Source organism: Homo sapiens, chromosome 3 (genome assembly GCF_000001405.40).
Source record: "Homo sapiens chromosome 3, GRCh38.p14 Primary Assembly".
Taxonomy (NCBI): Eukaryota; Metazoa; Chordata; class Mammalia; order Primates; family Hominidae; genus Homo; species Homo sapiens.
In genome coordinates, this window is record NC_000003.12 from 143,485,774 (window position 1) to 143,510,596 (window position 24,823).

At 35.0% G+C, this 24,823-nt stretch overlaps 1 protein-coding gene and 1 pseudogene across 4 annotated transcripts in view; both read right to left on the reverse strand.

The window, feature by feature from the left end:
• The window catches only part of SLC9A9 (solute carrier family 9 member A9), a 583,247-nt gene that overhangs the window by 220,552 nt on the left and 337,872 nt on the right, over window positions 1–24,823 (reverse strand). For all 4 annotated transcript variants that reach the window (XM_017006203.2, NM_173653.4, XM_011512703.4 and 1 more), the window contains 2 exons: window positions 9,562–9,675; window positions 7,880–7,991 (listed from right to left, as the gene is read on the reverse strand). In XM_017006203.2, the coding sequence (XP_016861692.1) occupies window positions 7,880–7,991; window positions 9,562–9,675 (226 nt within the window). The remainder of the gene's footprint in view (window positions 1–7,879; window positions 7,992–9,561; window positions 9,676–24,823) is intronic.
• On the reverse strand, window positions 17,301–18,523 carry GAPDHP47 (glyceraldehyde 3 phosphate dehydrogenase pseudogene 47; annotated as a pseudogene).

Genomic DNA, 24,823 nt, shown 5'->3' on the forward strand with positions numbered 1-24,823 from the left:
GACGTGATGGCAGATATACTAGACAAAGACTTTTAAGCGGACTTCAAAACAACTGTCTTAAAGATGCTTGAAGAACTAAAAAGAATATGTTGAGAAAGTTAAAAAAAAAGATATATGAACAAAAAGGAAATACCAATAAAGAGAGAGACATGAATATAAACACCCAAGAAGCTTCATGAACTCCAAGTAGATGAACTCAAAGAGATGCGGACTGAAACACTTTCAAAGTTTTTAAAGAATGTTGAAAGTACCAAGAGAGAAGGGACTCACACATATAAGGGATCCTTAACAAGATTATCAGCAGATTTCTCATCAGAAACTTTGGAGGTCAGAAGGCAGTAAGCTGATATAGTCAAAACGCTAAAAGAAAAAAATAAAAAACAAAAACAAAAACAAAAACCACTTGTCAACCAAGATTTCTATATGTGGCAAAACTGTCCTTCAAAAGTGAGGGAGAAATTAAGGCATTCCCAAGTAAACAAAAGTTGGGGAGGTTTCATTATCATTGAACCTATCCTTTAAGAAATCCCTCAAGAGAGTCCTGCAGGGTGAAATGAAATAATACTAAGTAGTAACTTGAGCCATATGAAGAAACAGAGAACTCAGTAAAGGTAAATCCATGGACAATTAAAAAGCTAGTATTATTGCATGGTTTGTAACTTCACTTTTTCTTTTCTATGTGATTTAAGAGATGAATACATTAAAAAAATTATCAGTATAAGCACTAATATTATAACTTTGGTTTATAACTCCACAGTTTATTTTCTACATAATTTAAGAGACTAATGCATATTAAAGAATTATTAGTTTGTATTTTTGGGAACACAATGTATAAAGATATAATTCTGTAACATCAACAGCCAAAAGGGGTGGGGACAGAGTTGTAAAGGAGGCAGAGTTATTGTATGTTTTTCATGTTAAGCTGGGGTAAATTTAAATTAGAATGTTACAGCTTTAGGATCTTAAGTGTAATCTCCATGGTAACCACAAAGAAAATAGCTATAGAATATATACAAAAGAAAGGAATAAAGGAATTTAAACATTTCACTGCAAAGAATCAACTAAACACAAAAGGCAGTAGTGCAGTAAATGAGGGACAAGAATGCTGTAAGGTATATAGAAAATATATTTCAAAATGACAGAACCTCTTTCTTACCAGTAATTACTTTAAATGTAAATGTATTAAACACTCTAATCAAAAGACAAGTTTGGCAGAATGGATGAAAACATATGATCCAGCTATATGCTGTCTAAGGAGACTGATTTTAGGTCCAATGACACAAACAGATGAGAGTAAAAGGCTAGAAAAAGATATTCCATGAAAATACTGACCAAAAAACAGAAGGGAGTAGCTATACTAATATCAGACAAAATAGATTTTAAGTTAAAAACATTTACAGAAGACAAAGATTAATAAAAGTTCCAGTACTGCAAGAAGATATAACAATTATAAACAATTATAAACATTTACATACCTAATGACAGACCACCATAACATATGAAGGAAAAACTGACAAAATTTAATGGAGAAATAGACAATTCTACAATAATAGTTGGAGACTTAAATATACCACTCTCAATAATGAACATAATAGCCAGATAGAATGTAAGTAAGGGAATAGAAAACAGTATGATAATCCAACTAGATCTAACAGACATATACAGAACAATCTACCCAACGACAACAACATACACAGTCTTCTCAAGTGCACATGAGACATTTTCCAGGATAGATCATACATTAGGGAACACATTAAGACTTCCTAAAAGATTTAAAAAGATAGGACAACAGTGGAAGTTAGAAATCAATAACAGATGTAAAACTGGAAAATTCATGCATATATGGAAATTAAATAACATACTTTTAAATAATCAATGGATCAAGAATAAAATCAGAAGAAAAATTAGAAAATACTAAGAGGTGAATGATAAGAAAACACAACATACCCAAACTTATAAGACATAGTGAAAACAGTGCTAAGACTTACTTTAAACACTTACATTAAAAAACAAGAACAATCTCAAATCAAGAACCCAACAACCTAACTTCACAACTTAAATAAACAAGAAAAAGAAAAACAAATTAAACCCAGAGCTAGAAGAAAGGAAAGAATAAAGATTAGAGATAAATAGAATAGAGAATAGAAAAATAATAGAAAAAATAAATGAAACAAAAAATGTTTCTTTGGAAAGAGCAATAAAATTGACAAACCTTTAACTAGATGGACTAAGAAAAAAGAGAGAAGATTCAAGTTACTAAAATTAGAAATAATAGTGGTGACTTTACTACCAATTCTAGAGAAATAACAAGAATTAGAGAATAACAAGAATAAGAGAGCACTATGAACAATTTTATGCTAACAAATTGAATAATCTATATGAAATGGATACCTTCCTAGAAATACAAAGCTTACCAAGATTAAAGCATGAAGAAATGAAAAATCTGAATTAGACCTACAACTAATAAGAAGATTCAATCAGTAATCAAAAATCTCCTCACAAAGAAAAGCTCCGGACTTCATGGTTTCACAGGTGATTTCTGCCAAACATTTAAAGAGAAACTAATACCAACCCTTCACAAACTTTTCCAAAAACCTGAAGAGGAGGAAGCAATTCTTATCTCATTCCATAAAGCCAGCATTACTCTGATATCAAAGTCAGAGCAAGACACAATAAGAAAACCACAGACTGCTATTCCTTATGAACATAAATGCAAAATTCTCAACAAAAAACTAGCAAATTGAATTCAGTAGCATATTAAAAGAACTATACACCATGACCAAGTGAGATTTGTTCCCGGAATGCAATGTTGTGTACAACACGCAAAAATCAATGAGTGTAATACACGACATTAACAGCATGAAGGAGAAAAGTACATGATCACCTCAATTGATGCAGAAACATCATTTGATAAAATTTAACATTTCATGATAAAAAAAACAACCAACTAGGAATAGAAGGAAACTATCTTAACATAATAAAAGCTGTATATAAAATAAAAGCAAATATCATACTCAATGGTGAAAGACTAAAGTCTTTTATTCTAAGGTCAGGAATAAGACAAAAATGCCCACTTTGACCACTTCTATTTAACATTATACTAGAAATTCTAGCCAGAGCAATTAATCATGAGAAAGAAATAAAGGTATTCAAACTGAAAAAGAAGTAAAATTATCTCTGTTTACAGGTAATATAATTTTATATGTAGAATTTCCTAAAGATTTCACAAAAAACCTGTTAAACCTAATAAATGAATTAAGCAAAGTAGCAAGACATAAAGTCAACATGCAAAAATCAATTGCATTTTTATACACTCACAGTGAACAATCTAAAATTAAAATTATGAAAATAATTCCATTCACAATAGCATCAAAAATATTAAAATACTTAGGAATTAACTTAACCAAGGAGGTGAAAGACTTATACAGTGAAAACTACAAAACATTACTGAAATAAATTAAAGAAGAAATAAATAAAGGGAAACATCCTATGCTTATGGATTAGGAGACTTAATATTGTTAAGATGTTAATACAACCCAAAGTAATCTGCAAATTCAATGCAGTCCCTATCAAAATCCCAATGACATTTTAAAAGAAATAGTAAAACCTATCCTCAAATTAATACAGATATTTAAGAGGCCCCAAATAACCAAAACAATCTTGAAAAAGTACAAAGCAGAAAGACCCATATTTCCAAATTTCAAAACTTACAATAAAGCTACAGTAATCAAAGCAATGTCATATATAAAAATTAACTCAAATGGATAAAAAAATGTAAGGCCTAAAACTATAAAACTCTTAGAAAAAGAATAGGACAAAAATGTCACAACATTGGATTTGGCAATAATTTCTTAGCTAGGACTCTAAAAGCACAGGCAACAAAAGAAAAAATAGACAAATTAAATTTCTTGAAAAATTTAAAAAATATTGTGCATCAAAATACAGTGTAAACAGAGTAAAAAAGGCAGCTCATGGAATGGAAGAAGATATTTGCAAATGATATGTCTGATAAAGGATCAGTATTCAGGAAATAGAAAACTCCTATAACTCTATGACAAAAGATCCCATTTAAAAAATGGCTTAAGACTTGAATAGAAGTTTCTCCAAAGAAAATACACAAATGGCTAGTAAGCTCATGAAAAAATGCTTAGCATCACTATTAATGAAGGAAATGCAAATCAAAAGGGCAATGAGCTATTACTTCATACCCATTGGGATGACTACCATAAGAAAAAGAAACAGAAAATAATTTTTGGCCAGAATGTGGAGAAATAAGAACATTTGGGCACTGTTGGTAGAAATATAAAATGGTAAAGTTACATTAAAACACAGTATGGCAGCTTCTCAAAACATTCAAAATAGAATTACTATATGACCCAGCAATTCTACTTCTGGGTATATATTGAAAGGAATTCACAGACAGGTTTTGAAGAGGTGTCTGTGTACCCATGTTTACAGCAGCATTGTTCACAATAGCTAACATGTGAAAGGAACCCAAGTGTCCACTGATAGATGAATAGATAAGTAAAATGTGATCTATACATGCAATGAATATTATTCAGCCTTTTTAACAGGAAGGAAATTTTATAATATGCTATAACATGGATGAACCTTGAGGATGTCATGCTAAGTGAAATAAACCAATCACAAAAAGACAAATACTATATGATTCCACTTATATGAGGCTCCTAAAGTGGTCAAAATCAAAGAGACAGAAAGAATGGTGGCTGCCAGGAATTGGGAGGAGGGGGAATGAACTGTTCAATGGGTATAGAGTTTCAGTTTTACAAGACGAAAAGAATTATGGAAGTGGACAGTGGTGATGGTTGCACATTTCGAATGTATTTAATAACACTGAACTGTATTCTTAAAATGGTTATGATGGGAAATTTTATGTTATTGTATTTTACAACAATAAAAAAATGAAAAAAAAGAGAGAACAATAATGGCTATCCCATCTTGCTGTGGCTATGAGTCTCAAAACAGTGCCAATGAAAGGGCTCAGGAAGGTGTAAAGTGACTTTTGAGCGTGGTATCAATGATTCCTTTACATAAATATGTAACATTACCATCTCTTCATTTGAAAGCTAAGAAGACAGCTTTTTAGTGAAAAATCCAATGTTCTTTCCACCATGTAAAAGAGTACTATCAATATTAACTTTTATTAAAAATGACGTTAGAAATATAAAGAAGAAACTCAATCTCTTTGATGTTCAGATTCATTTCAATGTGAAAAGTGTACGAAACAAAAATCCAGTCAAATACATAAAATAAGTGCACCTCGGCCCAAGATGATTGTGCCCTTGAGTTCAAGCTGATAAGCTGTAACTAACGGTGCCAATGCCAGCAGATGATATGGATGCTCAGTATGGAAAACACTGGGTCGCATTCTCTGGACATCAGAGTCATATGTAGGTAGGTGTCCTGAAAATTTGGTATGCTGTCTTTTTAATGATAGGAACTGGCTGATTGGCATTCTCATGAATTAAACTAATAATTTCAACCCCATTAATATGATAGGGTTATTGTTTTTCTTCCAGAGGGTAAGGATGCTTTAGAATAGGGCCAGATAGTAATATTTTATTTTTTATGAACTATATGATTATATATAGTTCACAACTCTGCCACTGTAGTGCAAAAACAGCCGTAGACAGTAAGTAAACAAATGGGTTGGGATGAGTTCCAACTTAATAATATTAATAAAATAGCCATGGATCAGTTTTGATTCAAGAGCCATAGTTTGCTGACTCCTGGCTTTAGAATATCATAGAAATAAATTCTGGACCTCCTCACATCCCCTGGCTGTACACATCATATTATTGGCCTCTACCAGGTTTTAACGCAGCTCCAATACTACCGTTAAACAAACTTAGAAGGTGCGAAAGCCTGGAGAAACCATCAAGACAGGTGGCCATTTGGGCAGACACTTCACAACCTAACATGATTATCTAAGGCCTTATATTTTTCTCAAAGCATTGTTTGTCAAATAAAGCAATGTTTAAAATGTAATATTGAAGCTTTGAAAATAAGCTGCTATTCTCCAGAGTAAAGTTACTGATGTTTTGATGGGAAAGAAGGAAAAGTGCTTTCCAATTCCCAGAAACGTTTTGAAAAAATGCAACCCAATGCTGGCTTCCCATTTATGAGTGCTCAAGTTTACCTTTTGCTTTCTCATAATAAAAGTCAACTCATTGCCAAAGTTTATTACTGTTCTAAGTCAAAAATCACCTACCACTTGGCCGGGTGTGGTGGCTCAAGCCTGTAATCCCAGCACTTTGGGAGGCCGGGGCGGGTGGATCACAAGGTCAGGAGATCGAGACCATCCTGGCTAACACGGTGAAACCCCGTCTCTACTAAAAATACAAAAAATTAGCCGGGCGTGGTGGCAGGCGCCTGTAGTCCCAGCTACTCAGGAGGCTGAGGCAGAAGAATGACATGAACCTGGGGGGCAGAGCTTGCAGTGAGCCGAGATCACACCACTGCACTCCAGCCTGGGCGACAGAGCGAGACTCCGTCTCAAAAAAAAAAAAAAAAAAAAATCACCTACCACTCCAACTTCTCACCTTCCTTATGACTCTCTCTCTCTTACCCTAACATGTCTGGAAATGTAAGGAAGTACTGTCAGAGGCCTTCAGTAGGGCAAATTTAATTTTGTATCTCCATTTGTCTGTATTTGAATCAATGACTCACTCTCAGCTTGGGAGCTGCCCCTTTTACCGTATGGACCAGGCTAGGATGGCACTGAAGGCAAAACAAGCCTTTTACTGCTTTCAGAAATGTGGATTTTGAGACACTTGGTTGGGTTTAGGTGGAATCTCACAGACCTGGGTTCAAGAATACATTTGTTCTTGACCAAGTTTCATAACCTTTTTGAGATCCTGAACCTCAGTTTCTTCATCTACAAAATGTGTTAATACTTGCTTCACAGGATTAATTAAAAAATAGTGAGTGGCAAATAGCAAGTGCTAATAAATGTTCATTTCTCTCACTTTTTCTATATGCCCCTATGTACCCTAAATTGTATTTGTTCATGCTGATAGCAGGTTTTATTGTAAACTCTCATGTATCCCCCAATAACTGCCTCTGAGTACATTGTAAGTGTACAGCTACATAGGAATCACGTAAGGATCTCTGCAAAAGGTCTTTGAACAGGGAAAGACTGAAGGTAGGAAAATTAATTGACTAAAGATAAACCATAATCTCCAGAGCTTTCAAGGTCAGAAAATTCATTTGGTTTATTTTCTTTTGGAAAGGAGCCTTGAGGTATGGTTTAAGCAATTAGAACACAAATGTCTTGAGAACAGAGACCTTGTCAGTTTCATCAATCAGTGCCCAGAACTCATCTCAGGCACCTGGTGAGTGCTCAATTAATATTCGTTTTCTCAACTAACAACTGAGCATACTTAGGTCTGATTTGCTTTTGTATTAACTGTGAGGAGTTTCTGGAGCTTTGCATAAGGAAGGAGCAGGGATTTTATGGAGAAGGAACACTGGATAAGGGGCATTGGATAAGAGTGGCACCATTTACACACTATTTACCCTGAGCATGCAATTTATGAAATTATAATTCAAATTCCCCAGTATGAAAAATTGATCTGAAATGGGTCAGAGGAAAGTCCAATGTCCACTCTAGGCCAGTTTCTGACCAGATATGATACCTTGAAGCCATACCAATAAGATTCCCTCTAACTTCATTTCCCACTTGGAAAGAGAAATCCTGCTGTTGCTCAGCACTTACGGAGAATCAGCATAGTGTTAGGTACAATGGGATAAAGAGAAGTTGTTTCCCCAAAAGGGTTCTAAATTTTCTCATGGTTTTTCATGTTCTGTAAAATTGTGAGAAAACCAGCAGCACTAACATATAACATAGTTCACATACCTGAAAACATCATCATGTGCTGAAAGTTCCAGGGGATCTTCTGTTTTCGGCCTAGATTCAGGAGGAAGGAGAGGGGATATATGTTGCAGGCTCTGGCAACAAAAATTGCTAGCTGTAGATAAGCACAGGGAAACATTGAGGAAAGTGTTGCTGCAATGATGGTTTGAATCCTTGAGCTTAAATATTATGTCCTCAAGCTTCTCTTCATTATGACCCCAAAACCAGAAATAAACATGTCAATTCACATTTGTCCAACTTGCTTCCAAAATTTATATTTCAAAGTCAAGTTCTTCCCAGAAATAATAGAGAACTCTGCCTTTCTTTGATACTTGCTTTAAAATTGTTAGCCCAATACCAATTCAATCACTGTAAATTTTCTAATCACATTTATATTGCTGATGACTGACTATCCTCAATTCTGCTGTAAAATGTGAGGCAGAGACCATTCAGATGCTGTGGCATTATCTTCCCAAGTGGTACTTTAGAAAGGATAAATGTGCTTCTGTTCATGTTTACCATCTTCCTTCTTATCAGTTTATATTTCCTATATCTAGCAAGCTTTGCATACCTTTTTCTTTGGTGAATTAATTTTGAGAGGAATTACCTGTCTAATTACATAATACAACTGTTGCTTTATCTGGCAATTTCCTAAAATAAAAGTTTATAAGTAAAAGTCTTTGAAAATATTGGCGCTCTTCATCTTTCCCTTTTTGTTGTCTTTGACTCCTTCCCCGATGGGCTATTCTAGTTTGTCCTCAATGGGACGGAGTTATTTGGCAAGAGTTAACTTCCTTTTAAAATCCAGGTTTTGGATGAAATTTTAGGGTTCAGCTGAATGCTCAATGAAAAGAGACTAAGAAGCAAATGCAGATGTTTAATTGGAACACAGTTTATAGAGAGGGATTGCCTCTGCTGGCTGTTCGGATTATCTGTGATCCAAGGTGGCATCTGCCCATCTTCCAAGTGGGAAGAAGGACAACAGTTGCTGACTGCCTTTGGGGACATTCCTAATGGCTCAACATCCTTTCAGATAGATATCCATTCCCACTGGAAACACCTCCTGTCCCAGGCCTAGAGCTAGGAAAACCCCCTGCATTAAAAGTGGGGTCTAGATTTCATCTGTCTTCATAGGAAAGGAAGGGTGCTATCTTATTCAGATGAACCTGTATTTGAACAATGCTTATGATGTTGAAAGCACATGCATCATGCTAATTTCATTTGATCATCTATCCTATTTTTGAAGTCCGTATTGGAAAAGAGATTTTATCATCTTGCAATGAAAACATTTCCAAAGCTGAATAATCCTGGATGCTTCCTGATATACTCTAATGCAGATTAAGTCTGTTTCTCTATAAAGAATACACAGACATAATTTTTATGTAAATGATTCATAATTATAGTTAAACATATTTTGAATGCTTGAAAAATAGATTTTCCTTTAATTTCCCTCTTTATTTCCACAGTTCTTTCCAAAGTTCTTATCTTGAACCATAATTATTTAATGGAGGTCCTAATTTCTTAGGATGTTTTCCTCCCCTAACTAGAAATCACGTATCTGCCTTGTGTCTGAGCCTTGCAGTGGACTTTAGGAAAGTGCTTTAATGATTTAACAGAATAATTCGTAAAAGTAAGTCATTCGTTATCTTCTCTAATCACCCCATGTTCTGTATTTCAAAGGATACAAAGGCTCCAAGTATAAAAAGAGCATTAAAGATATGATTCTGGAACGTGAACAGTGCCAGGCCCATGTAACAGAAGATGACGTTCTCCGCCAAAAAGTTCATAAATTCAAACAACTGAAACAAAACATAAAACAAAAAACCATTAATTATAACTCAGGTTTGAGTGCACTTACTTTCTGGTAACTGTATTTGACAACTGACTGGGTCTCCTTTATCTGGAAGGCCACCCCTTTGGCCGTGTGCTTAGCCTCTGAAGGAGGATGGAGGCCCTGGCTCTTGACCCAGGGACAGATGCCACAGCCACATCAGCATCCCATTCTTTCCAACTGTAAGGCTGCCAGAGACACGCCTGGGTAATATTAACCAGCATGATCCTTCCATGGAACAATTCCTACTAAGATGACAAAATAGTCCCTGTAAAAGAAACTGAAGCTAAGTGATTTGCTGAAGGTGTACTGTAGTAAATGACACAAAGATTGTTTAACCTCTGTGCACATTACCCAGTAGATCCACTTGACTTCCCAGGTACTGAACAACTGTTTTTTTTAAGCTTAAACTAAATTACCCTTCTCAGGCAGGCAGGAGGGACAAAGTTGGAAAACTTGGAAACCTGAAATAAGGATGAATGTCAATTACATTTTAACATTAGAGTGATCGGTATATTTCAAATCCCAGACGATGAGACTCATTAAATTGACTGATGTAGGTATATCCATTAAATGTCTACAATTTCTAGCTGCTAAAAAGAAAATGATTAATCCCAGGGATCGGTTTATGCAGCAAGAACACAATAGATACATCAAATTCAGTCAGAAGAATAGAGTAATAACATGCTATGATGAGGGATGTTCCCAAGAGTTATTCTTAGACCATTAACTAAACAATTTAAGTTGAACATGAAAAACGTTCTCCAACTTTCAGATTAAAAGTAAAAGGGAAATGTTCCAGGGGCTACAACAAAGGCAGATTTGGAAGACTTTATTTTATGTTCCAGACTTCTCATTTGGAAGTTTCTGAGACTCCATTCCTGGACCTACATAAATCACCATGTTAGGTAAATATCTCTGGAGGCATTTCTCTTGACTTTTTAAGGACTCATTATTTTTTCATGTAATGTATTTACAGCCCCACAAATAATGCCCAATACTGTTCACTGACAGTTGACAGAAAGAAAAGTAGAATCTTGTCAGAAACATTATTTAAAACCAGTAATAGAAAGAAAGGATTAAAAAAGAAACAGCCCTTTGGTACAAGATAGTTTTCTCTGCAGGGGCAGCCATCATCAATTATCCTGAATGCTTGCTTTACATCCCAGGCTGGCTCATGGAAACAAACACTGTCACCAAAATAACCAGAGAAAATTTGAAAACAACAGGAAAAATGTAGGGGACAGGGAATATTTTTCTGCCTCATTATATCTTTACTTTTTCAAAAAGTGAGATTTGGCTGTTGTCTTAATCTCCTCAGGCTGGTGAAATGAAATACCATATACTGAATGGCTTAAACAACAGAAATTTATTTCTCATAGTTCTGGAGGCTGGGAAATCCAAAATCAAGGTGCCAGCTGATTTGGTGCTGATGAGAGTCCTCTTCCTGGTTTGCCAAAGGCCATCTACTCGCTATGTCCTCACACCGAGGAGAGAGAGATCATCACTTTTGTGTTTCTTCTTATAAGGGCACTAATCCAATTTCTAAGGGTTCTATTATCATGATCTAACTCCCTCACAAGGGCCTCACCTCCAAATATCATCACAATGGGGATTAGAGCTTCAACATATGAATTTTTAGAGAGCAAAAACATTCTGTCCTTAGTAGCTATTTAGTTTTTTAACATCAATAAACAAATGTCAAGGTTAAATTTGTAGTGCCTCTCTTTCTTTTGTCCCCATCCCAACTGTATTTTACCCTAGAGTGAACATTTTGCCACCTGGACTCTATTCAGCCTCTCTTTAATGGCCTTACTCCAATTTCCCTCTGAGGGCCCACTTCATTCCCTACTCTCAGCCCATGTGTTCATGCCTCCCTAGCTCAAATATGGAGCATATAATTTAGGACTAAACCACTCAAATCGGTGCATTTCTTTAGGCAGCATGTTTGGCTCAGAAATGAGTGTGACATGTTTGGGCCCAAGAAAATTCCATTTGAATTCAACAAGTTTAATGCAGGGAATGCTGAGACAAAGGCCCCCACCTTTTCACAGGATGAGAAATCAGAAAGATGCTGGCCAGGAAGCTGCTGGCAGCCATTTTGGGATAACAGAGGAAATGGCCGCCTGAAAGAGAAGCCAGTTCCTGATAACAGTATTTAATCTTCTGTATTCAATCTCTCCCAAAACAAAATTTACCCTTGGATTTTTGCATTGAAGAGATCACGAAATCACTTTTTGATTTGAAGTAGGGTTCTATCATTACTCTAAAACAGTCCTATTTCAGTTAAATGAACAAAACAAAACACTTTTTCACTCTAAACAGATTATAAACAAAAGGGTGTGGGGTCAAATTTTTGTCTCTTTTCAGATAATAAGAAAGTCTGTTACCTTTGTCCCCCTCACCTCCACCATCCAATTTTAATCTATTCATCATCTTAATGAAAGAGGAGAAGTATATGGGAAAAGTCGTTTTGTTTTGATTTTTTCTATTTGTTATTGAGATGTGATGGGAATCTTTGCGCTACATTTTACATGGAGGCCCATAATTTTAAGTATTTGTTTTAGTGATTTGCTTCCTTTGAATAACCTAGGATTTTAACTTGATTTACTCACTCAACTTATTGAAATCTAACACTTCCCAGCATTACAAGTAACTGTGTACATACACATAGTACAAAAGTTTTGTTTTGCATTAAGGTCCGTTTTTGAACCTGCTCTTTGTTCGTGTTGTTATCTATTCTGCTGTCAATACTACACTCTTTTAAATTAATGTGGATCCATAATACATTATAATATTTCATAGTCTAGACTGTTCTCACACCCTACATTATTCAGAATTTTCCAGGTTATTTTTGCATGTTTAAAGAAATGTTGCAGCCTGGCCAACATGGTGAAACCCAGTCTCTACTAAAAATACAAAAATTAGCCAGGGATGGTGGTGTGTGCCTGTGGTTCCAGCTACTTGTGAGGCTGAGTCAGGAGAATAACTTGAACCCAGGAGGTGGACGCTGCAGTGAGCCGAGATCACACCACTGCACTCCAGCCTGGGCAACAGAGTGAGACTCTGTCTCAAAAAAATAAATAAATAAGAAAGAATGAAAGAAAGAGAGAAGGAAAGAAAAAAAAGAAAGAAATGTTTTTCTTGAGTTTAATCACCCAGGAAAGTGCATATATCATATGTTTATAATTTAAGATTTAAAAAAAAAATTAACAGCATCCCAGAATCACTCTTCTCTCTCACAATATCTCTTTCCATGATTTAACTACTATTAGCACCTCTACCACCACAAATTAGCTTTTCTTGTTTTTCAGTTTTATATGAATGGAATTGGACAATACATACCCTCGCATTTGTCATCTTTGACTCAGCAATATGTTTGTGAGATTCTTCATATTGTATTTAGTTCATTTAAAAAATTATATTAATGTATTACAAGGTACTTATTCATACTACTATTAATAGACACTTGGGTATTTTCTAGTTTGGGGCTATGATAAATTTTGCTGCTAAAAATACATGTTTGCCTTTCTGTAGAATTGTTGGGACATAGTGCCATGCAGTTTCCCAAAGCGGTGGTATCAATTTGCACTCCAATCAGCAATTCTAGTAGCTTTACATCTTGCCAACACATTTTACTGATGTTTTCTGAAATGACACTTTTGCCTCTTGATATTGCCACTTGAACTTAGGAATCAACTTTTCAATTTCCACAAAACTTACCTATTGGCATTTTAGTTGGAATAGTATTAATTTATAGATAAATTCGGATAAAATGCACTTCTTTTTAATATTCAAGTTTGGATCCATGAATATCATATATCCTTATAATTATTTTGGCTTTCTTAAATTTTTATATAAAGATTTTTCACATCTTTGTTTAGATTTATTCCTAGATATTTGATGTTTCTTGTTATTATTGTAAATAGTACCTTTTTCAAAGTTCCTTTTCTAATGTTCATTGCTAGATTCACATATACAATTGATTTTTAAAATTGACCTAGTATTCAGGGCCTTAGTAAATTTAGTTAATAATTCTCACAGTTTATTGGTAGTTTCTTTTTGATTTCCACAGTCATGTTGCTTTCAAATAAGGATAGGTTTTTTTCCTTTCCAGTCATCATACATTTTTCATGTTTTTGTTTGTTTCATTACACTTGTTAGGACCTCCAGCACAGTGCAAAATACAAGTGAGATATGGGCATCTTTGTTTTTTTCCCAATCTCAAAATGAACATTTTTCACTATTTCTCTATCAAATTTATAGAAATTCTGAACAGATTAAAGAAGTTCCCTTTTGTCCTTAAGTGTTGGTTTTTATAAAATGTTTTTCCTTTACCTATTAAGATGATCATATGGTATTTGTTTTTTCACTTTTAAAATGTTGTTAATTACATTAATTGATTTTCGAATGCTAAAACAGTCTTGCATTCCTGCAATAAACCTTACTTGGTCATTATATATTAACCTTTTTTATATACCACTGGATTTAATTTGCTAAGATTGTGTTTAGGATTTTTGTGTCCATATATTTTATACAGTTTTACCAGGTTGTATTGTTAAAGTTACTCAGGTATCACAAAACAGATTCCTGTTCTCTTCCTTAAATGCTTAGGAAAATTCTAGGCTTGGATTTTTTTTTTGTAGGAAGATTTTTAATTACAGATACAAATATTTAATAAATATGGGCTTAGTCAAATATTCTATTTACTTTTGGATCAGTTTTAGAAAGTTATGTTTTTCAAAGAATTTGTCATTCCACCTACATTTTTGTATTTTTTGGCATACAGTTGTTCTTAATATCCTCAATATTTGTGTCTGTATTTATATCTTTCCCCATGTTATTAGGAAATTGTGTTACTTTTCTTATTCTTGATGAATCTTGTAAGGTAAGTTATTAACTTTATGAGTGTTTTCAAGAAGCAACTTTGGCTTGTCGATTTTTCTGTATGGCACCCTCCCTTCCCATTTTATTAATTTCTCTCTTTATTATTTCCTGCCTTCAACATAGCTTAGTTTAACCTGTTTTTATTTAGTATCTTGATCCTTCAGGTCCTGGATGTCATGGCTGCTCATGTCAGACACCTGCTTTTCTGTGTATGACACAGCTTTTCTAGTTGCTTTCTCAAAGAGAGCTGTCCTGACGTCTGCAGTCTTTCCTAGCTAGCTCTTCTTGTATGTATATTTTTCCAGGTGAAAACCAATTTTTGTCAGTACCTCCTACCTCCCAACAATTTTATAGTATTTTATTTTATGGTATTTATAATGTTATAGTATATATAAGATACCATAAATATCATAAATTTATAAAATACCATAAATACCACAATTTTATGGTATTTATAAAATATCATAAATGCAATAAAATTTGCATTTTATTGTACCACAATAAAAATGTATACAATTTAGAACAAAATAAGAGTTTTATAATATTTGGGAAAAAAGATAGATTGTTTGGAAAGATTTACAGTGAAAGTTGACTACTTGGGGTAAAAATAACCAGAAACCAAAGATGGATTCTAGCTCACTCCTTATACTCAAATTACAGAAAAATAATCAATTTAAAGGAGAAAACAAAACCTACTTATGAATTATTCAATAAGTCATCAGTAATTTTGTACATAATTTTTCAATCGGGAAATTTTATAAGAATTGTTTGTATTAGTAAAAACCTGGAAACAAATATCCATAATATAAGAAATAGTTAAATAAATTATAGTATAATACATTCATGTAACAGCCTATATTTTAGGGAGTTCTATATGAACTAGTATAAAAAGATATCTAAGATCTATTGTTAAATAATAAACAATTAAAGAAATAAAGGATAAATCTAGCTGAGTATTAACATGTACATATCCATGTAACTTTCACTCACTTTATGGACATTTGCATAATTTTAATTATAATGAGGATAATTTTAATTATGCAGATGCCCATAGAGTGAAAGTTATATAAAATTTCTTAGATAAAATTCCTGACATGAGTTGTCCTCTCACGAAGGGGATACGTTTTCTTTTTAAGCATAGTAAAAATCTGCCCTTCAGAAAGAATGAAGCAATTTGCATCTCTACAAATGGTGCAGAGGGTGCCCTTTTCCCCATATTCTTGCCAAAGTAGTTTTTATCAGTTTTTAAAAACCTTTGACAATATGATAGAATCACTTATTTTCAATTGTAGATGGTTGTTGGCATTTTAAAAAAGGCTTCTTTCACAGCAATGCAACAGTACTGATTAGCACTCCTTTTGTCTATTTATATCACGTAACAACATTTCTTTGAATGAACAGTCTTCATAATAATTTCCTTCTTGGGGCATTTAATGAGAATCTGTGGGCAAATTCAATTTTGTTTCATATGCCAAAATCTCCTGAAGGCATGTTTCAAAGGGAGAATCTATACAGCAAGGCCAGCTGACAGAACCAATTTGACCGTTAGGACTTCATTGCCTGAGTCTGGCCCGAAGGAGTACGCAATCACTGAGGGAATAAACTTATTGGTCAATTTTGGATAAAATTTTAAAAAATGAAAAAAATCTTCCACCCCAAAGCCAATAATAATAATCACAATAACAACACATTTCAAACTAGTCAATTCAGTGTTCAATATAAATAACTTCAAATCTACTTCCTCCCCACTCAGGGTCAGTAAAAAATAACTTGACTCAACTTTTTATTTATCCGGTACAGTAAACATTTATTTTGTTTCCATTACTTCACAGTTTGTGAGCATTTGGAGAGGACCCAAGTTAAAAGTAATCTTTGCTTAGCAGGGCTTTTGTTCAAGGGGCAGGGGGGAAGCAAGTTAATAGTGCAAACAAGACTGGGGAAGTATTTAAACTGCGTAAGAGGACAATCTGTGTTTAAAAACTCTGAACGCTCATGGTAACCATTCATATGTTAATTAAGTGACTTAATCTAGTTAGCAAACCATGTTCTCTGAAGACTTATTGGATACTATGCTTTTTATTGAGTTACTGTATTTACTAGAAAGTAAAAAAAAAGTCATATCTATTTTATAAAATATGTTTATCACTAATTCTGATTGACCTTTTTCTTCTATCCACACAAAAAAATGTAATTTTACCATATTATTATGGTTCATAGGGAAATATTACAGCCGTTCAATATACCTGGCTAATACTAATTAAATTCACATGAATTCCTCAACATAGCTTTTATGAGGCTCGACACAGCTTTTATGAGGCTCGACACAACCTGCTGACTTTCATCTACTTGTCTATGAAAGGCACTGAAATTCGTTGAAACCGAGATGTTAAATAATCTCAAAACTGCAATGAAAATTAAATGAAATGGTTATTTTCTTTAGAATTTTATCTCAGAATTAATCTTGGCTTATATTTTCATTTTACTTGTAAAATTTGTCTTTATTCCTAACTGGGAGCTTTCTACACAGAATATCTCAGATTTCATTTTTATATACTATTAAGTATATCCATAGCTATTTTGAACAAAGCTGGCATATAGGTGAATAATTTTTATTCCTGCATTGGGGAATTTGCAAATAAGCATTACAATAAATGCTATTGAAATGATAAACTTTTGCTCCTACGATTTAATTTAATTAATATTTTGGGCTGAGTACGGGGACTCTATTGATGGTGCAGGACAAAGTGGGGCTTTCTAGGCCCCTCCCATTCTTCAGAGGGTGTGGCATGGAAACTGTGTCTAGAAGGGGAGATTCTCAGTGTGGTTGGGGGGTACTAAGTGGGGCAGGGACTGCACAGCAGCTGAGGGCCTCTCTTTTACTCTCATGCTGTCACTGGGGCTGGTGGTCTAGGAGGCCATGTGGACCATAAGGCCTCCCACCCTGTTGCTGTAGCCAAATTCATGGTCATATCAGGAAATGAGCTTAACAAAGTGGTCATTGAGAGCAATGCCAGTCCCAGCATCAAAAGTGGAAGAATGAGTGTCACTGTTAAAGTCAGAGGAGACAACCTGGTGCTCACGATGCCCAGGATGCCCTTGAGGGGACCCTCCAAAGCCTGCTTCGCCACCTTCATGATGTCATCATATTTGGCACAAGTCTCTCCAGATGGCAGGTCAGGTCTGTGACTGATGTTGGCAGTGGGAACATGGAAGGATATGCCAATGAGCTTCCTGGTTCAGCTCAGGGATGACCTTGCCCATGCCTTGGCAGTGCCAGGAGATGCAGGGATGATGTTCTGGAGAGTCCTGCAGCCATCACACCATGGTCTCCCGGAGCGGCCACCCATGGTCTTCTAGGTGGCATTGATGGCATGGATGTGGCCATGAGTCCTTCTATAATGCTAAAGTTGTCATGGATGGCCTTGGCTGGGAGGCTAAGCAGTTGGTGACACAGGAAGCTTTGCTGATGACTGTGAAGTTGTTTTTGCACTTCTCATGATTTACATCCATCATGAACATGGGGGCATCAGAGGAGGGGGCAGAGATGATGACTCTTTGGCTTCCTTATCTAAGTGAGCCTCAGCCTTCTCCATGGTAGTTAATACACTGGTGAACTCCACAACATAATCAGTGCCAGCATCGCCCCATTTGACTGGGGTAGGATCTCACTCCTGGAAGATGGTTATGGGATTTCCACTGATGACAAGCTTCCCGTTCTCAGCCTTGATGGTACTGTGGAACTTGCCATGGGTGGAATCATACTGAAACATGTAGGCCATGCAGTTGAGGACAGTGAGGGGGGTTGTTGATGGCAGCAATATCCACTTTGCTAGATTTAAAAGCAGCACTAGTGACCAGGTGCCCAATACAGCCAAATTCATTTACTCCGGCCTTCACCTTCACCATGGTGTCTCAGGGATGTGGCTGGGGTTGCACGAGAAGATGTGGCTGTCTATTGAATGGGAGGAGAAGAGAGCTGCTCCTCGGATTTTAATTTTCACTCAGTTCCAAGTACTTAGGAAATGTGTTTGAGGGGAACCCAATAATTCTCATGGGCTGTAGAGGTGGCACAGGAGATGAATTATAATAATGACCTTTACCACCAGAACATAAGGATTCTGAAGGCTTTTTTGCCTATTAAGGCCACGGTTCCCCAGTGACGCTTCCTCTATAAAGTTGAAGATTTACAGTTACATATAGGTAAAGTGCAATCTTTGGAGATCCTTCTATATCTAAAGCATTATAGTAATATCAATATTACTACTTCTAAAATAGTAACAATGTTAATGAAATTCCTATTTTTTTAGGACCTAAATTGTACTAAGAAATGTATTAAAAGCTTTTACATACTTTAACAATTTTTAAAAACCTTTATGTTATAAAGTCAACAAAACTCAGGAATTGGTAATAATATTCCCATTTTACCATTGGGAAAACTACATTCAAAGGCATTAATACACTTGCATTAACACAATAAAGGGAAGAGGTCAGTTGTCCTGAGTTTTGTCCAAGGCTCACACCATTTGTGCCAGACTAGGCAGCCTCCCCATTGTATACGATTCAGGCTCTGGAGTGGCAAGATGTTTGAATATTTGTAACACTTTCAAGTTTGCAAAGCATATTTTCATACACACATCTTGTTTGATCATCGGAACAAGTCAGGGGTTGGCAGGGAAGATATCAGTGACTCTGACCATATTTTTCCCAGGTTAAAAAAAAAACTTAAAAGGTAAATTTCTTTGTACCCAATTAGTGGAAGCAACAGTGTGTGGCTTGAGGCGGGGGATACTTATCCTCTCCCAAATATCTATCACCACTCACCCATCCAAGCCAACCCCTCCTACACTCATTCTCTCTCCCTGCCCCCAAAAAGCAAAACCAAAGCTCTTGCCATGTATTTGAAGTTTTAAGACAAATCCTTTTCCAAATAACCCTCTTTTCAACCCAATTTCTTCTTCAGACAAATTCTGTTTTGCCCTGTGCCCTACAGTAACATGATAATGATTATATATAGCTTTATATATGCATATAAATTATACATATAGATTATGTATATGCCTAGAGTAAGACAAATGTCATCCAGTTTGGCAGGCTGGGCCCCAAATCCAACATCAGATTCTCCAAGTTGTTTAGGACTATCCAGTCCCTGTAGTAGAGGAGGTGCACCACTTAAGCGTTCAGAGAGCTGCTCTTTATCATATATTTCTTTGTTTGAGAATTTTGGGGTTCCCTATGCACTCCTGCTTGCTACCCAGCCCTCTCCTGTCTCGTATATTTCATTGTCTTCTTTTAAACTTAATCTTGCTTTTTAAAAACATGAGAATTTCAAAAGCACAGCCTATAAAAACACAACAAAACACATTTTAGGAAGATGAATAGGCATCATTAAGTAAGTAAAGTTAATATAGGACATAAATGTAGTTACAGCTACAAGGAATTGAGCTTCATTAAACTGAATAAATACTGAATAAATACTGTAGCTAGATTTCCTGAAACCCTCAAGCTTATAACTTAAGGGGAAGGCCATTTTCTCTGAATTTGCTTAATTACTTTAGCCAGTAAATACTGATAATAGTATTCATATTTCTGGAAGTTTTCCACTTTGGAGTCTTCCCTTTAAAAAAAAATTTTGCTATTAAAGTAAAAGTCATTGCAGGATTTTGTAAGGTTGCATTTAAGTTAATATACATAAAGTTAAGAATAGCTTCTCATGTTGGCACCTTGACAGAGTACTTATCATGATACTGCTCAGAGATATTGGTCATGAAATAGATTGACCTTAGATCCATTTTGATGAATTTAAACACAGGTACACATATGCACACAGAATTTAAACCATAAGACTTCAAGAGTAGAATTACTTTGTAATGTATATAGTCCAAACATCCATCCAATGCCTGATTGCTCCTATATGCTTGTTGAGGGGCTGCTCAACCTGGAACTGAACATTGCCAAAGGCAGAAACCACACTACTTCCTAAGGAAGTGAATGGCATTTTTGGACCTATATAACTGTTAGAAATCCTTCCTTATGTTCAGCTAAAATTTGGCTATTACTTTCAACCACTTCTCCTATTTCTTTGGTTCACAGAAAAATGAGTCACATAGGGTATCATTTTATTTTATATTGCTTGGCTCTAACAGCAGAGAGGGGATTTTTATCAGAATAGTTGCAGCAGTAGGCAATTCCACAGTTTAGGCAGCAACTGCCACTTTTCATTCAACAGTCTTATTAGTTTTGAAAATAAACATTTTGCTGCTGTGAGTTTGTGGCTGACATATGAGGTCTTGAGTCTAGAATATCTGCAAAGGCTGGGGGACTCTTTTGGAGGACACTTATTTGAATGTAATGCTGGTTACATTCAAACAAGTGTCCTCCAAAAGATTTTCTCAGTAAATCTAATAGTACTGGTCCTTTGAAAAAACAAAAGTTGTAGAATAAGACAATTAGTTTCTCTGTGGTTTTGCCAATAAGTACTAACTAAAGAAAATTGCCTAGTTGAAACAATATATTTTCTGTGCAGAAATTAAAATCGTGTCTTTAAAAAATCCCTTAATGAATAAGCCAAGAAAAACATTGATATTAATATTAGGTACTGGTATGGAAAATTCACACATTATCACATTTTTCAAAGGTTAACAGTCCCTTTTCTTTAACTTTTTTTATTTAGAGATTGCTGACCTCCTTCCTTATTCATCTTGTGCATATTATCTTAAGATTTTGTTTTTTAGAGCAATTTTAGGTTCATAGCAAAATTGAGAGGAAGGTACAGAGATACCCCATATACCTCCTATCCCGACACATGTACAGCCTCTCTCATTATTATTATCATTATTATTATTATTATTTTTATTTTTTGAGATGGAGTCTCACTCTGTCACCCAGGCTGGAGTGCAGTGGCGCGATCTCTGCTCACTGCAAGCTCTGCCTCCTGTGTTCACGCCATTCTCCTGCCTCAGCCTCCCGAGTAGCTGGGACTACAGGTGCCCGCCACAGCGCCCGGCTAATTTTTTGTATTTTTAGCAGAAACGGGGTTTCACCATGTTAGCCAGGATGGTCTCAAACTCCTGACCTCGTGATCTGCCTGCCTCGGCCTCCCAAAGTGCTAGGATTACAGGCGTGAGCCACTGCGCCTGGCCCAGCCTCTCTCATTATTAATATCCCTCATTAGAGTTGTGCATTTGTTACAATTAATGAATCTATGTTGAAGCATCATTATTAGCCAAAGCCCATAGTTTACATAAATGTTCACTCTAGGTGTTAAACATTACTTGTGTATCTTTTTGTCTTTGTAATTAGCCTATGCTAAACTCTTAGGTGGGAGTATGAAGAATACATGTCTTAGTTCTGGCTTCTATAATAAATACACCATAGACTGGGTGGCTGAAACAACAAACACCCATTTATCACAGTTCTGGAGGTTAGGTAGTCCAACATTAAGGTGGCTGCAGATCTGGTGTTGAGAGCCCATTTCCTAGTTTGCAGATGGCTCTTTGGTTGTATCTTCATATGCTGGAGAGCAGAGAGAATGAGCAAGCAAGCTCTCACGTCTCTTCTAATAATGGCATGAATCCCACTAGTGAGGGCTCCACCCTCATGACCTAATTATCTCCCAAAGGCCCCAACTCCAAATACCATTAAATTGGGGGTTAGGTTTCAACATGGGGGATACAAACATGCAGTCCATAGCAACACATGAAAAAAGGAAATATTTCTAATTATGTTTTTTTAAGGTGTCTGAACTGAATACCAAAATCCTAGCCATTGCCAGTCAGATGAGTAACAACTGTTTAAGACATGACTGAGGATACTCCACTCCATCCACTATGAGAACCATGTGCTCTTTCTAAATTAACATTTACTGCTAGCAACAAACAGAATATTAAGTCCCAGATATCTAGAGATGTGTTTGATCTCTTCATGCCAACCCAATCCCTTGATAAAAGTATTGCAAACTAAAATACGTAGGATTGAGAACATTATTCAGTGATGTTTCATGATCGGCCATTACACAGTGGAATGCATTAGATCATCAGGACAAACACAAAACCCTAGAATCAAACCAGTATTCATTCAAGCAGGCTTTGTCACTGCCAGTGCTGCACTTGTCTGAAATAACACTTAGTTTCATAACCAGCTTGAAGATTTCAAGAGCTTACTTGTTTTATGTTATGTTATTCTCAATAAACATTTTCATTATGTTAGTGTATATTGAGATTCCTTTAAAAAACTTTCTGAATTCGGTAGTTTTATATATTCTACTGTAATGGTACAACAGTAATCAGAACTTCTCAGAAAAATTTCTTTTACCACATTTCCCCCATCTCCAATTTATGAGGAAAAAGAAAAGAGGACTAATTAAACTGATTTACTATTTAACCTGACCAAATTCATTGCTCAACTTTTCCTTTCACTTTTGGGTCATCTTTTGGGTAAGATATAAAAGTAAATATTTTACAATTTAGAAGGTGAAGAGGCACAGATGCTTTTCTTGAGTATTTCAGTAAGATTTTTAATGTAATAAATGGAGGACATAGCACTCAACTTTATACTATATGTAAACAGTGATATTAAAACTCTTAATTTTTGTTCTACAGGTGGTTATAAGTTTACTTGATTTAACTAACAAAGAAAATAAAAAGCTACAACAAACAGTTAAAACTCATTGTCATTAGGCAGATGTCTTTGAATTCAATTTCTGATCTATGGCAGAGTGGACTATGGAAAGGCATGCAATAGAAAGCTTGAAACTTAGAGTAGAACATTGATTCTTTGGGACATGATAAGAAATTGGAGAGTGTAAAAGAGGCTTTATAAATCAGAGAAATCAATGAAAATGAAAGACAAAAATATATGACATTTGGATAATGTCATTCAATTGGAGAATAGACTATCAGATAATTTTTATAAAGGCATGGCTATAAATAAATCAATAGCTGATGAAAATTATGTTTGCTTAACTTGTTCCTTTGTAATGGATAGTTAAAATATACTGACTGTAGATTGTCAATGTTTATATTAAACTCCAGAAAATTCTTATTTTACAACGATTAAGTTTTTTGAGCTTTCTTTTGATGAGATTTATAAAGCTCCCCTCTGTAAAGCCTCTGTGTTGAAGCTACTGCACGCCCTTGAGAATATAGGCAAAATGCCAAAAATTATAAATTATTACAGTGTAAGAGTGTATTTCTCTTTGTATCCAAGGAAGAAAGTTATATTTCATATAAAGACCATGCATGCATAAAACAGCTCTGAATGAGAGCTTTAGCTCTGACTTATTTCTGTGGTTTGGGGTCAATTTTGTTTTTGTTCCAATCTGTTTAGGTCCTTCAAAGTTACCCTACAAAGATCCCTGAGAAAGTGCTCTTGTATATGTGTATTTATGATGATTTTCAAAAATTAGTTTATCTGCAAAAAAATTATATACATATATATGGAGAAAGACTGTACTATAGATATGTGCTAGAAGCTCTTAGTCTCCACTCTCTAGATTAATCCCCTATTTGTTCTGTAAAACATACTGTCTAATGTCCTCTACACACTAAATGCTGACGCTTAGTAAGTTGCTCTCCAGTGTGCCCAGGTAACTTCTGCTTCCACCACATGAATTTTATGCTTAACAAGAGCCATGCTTGTTCCAAAATTTGTTTTTGTCTACTTTAAATTGATATTTGTAATTGCATAATTTGTATAGATTAAATGTGGATATGAAAGAAAGTTGATGTTTTTCAAAAAACTAAGTTAAATATGCAGAAAGACTTGATAAAATTAAGTTGCTTAGAAAATATTACTAAATTAGTAGTGAGAAGGACAATTGTAAAATGTTGCAAAAATGTATATCCAAATACAGACAGATTCTTATATTTGCCAATGTCTTTAATCTCAAAACTAAAGCAATAGAAATACTAGAAATTCTGGTTGATATATTTGTGGTGTACTTTGTGAAAGAAAGGCAACTCAGAACTGTAATATTCAAAGAAAAAACATTGTCTTTATTAAAAGATTGGAAAATTAATATATAATTTATAAGTGAAAATTAAATACCCGAGATATTTGTGTCATTTTATAGAATGATTCTTTGCTTTAGATGACTTTTCCATTAATTAGCTGGTTCCGATCCTGTGTTGGATAAAAGCACCTAGGCTCTGAGTGTCTATTATTTCTCTACTTCAATTTTTGAAAAATATTGAAAAATTTTCAAATTTAATTTTTTCATCCGATTCTTATTA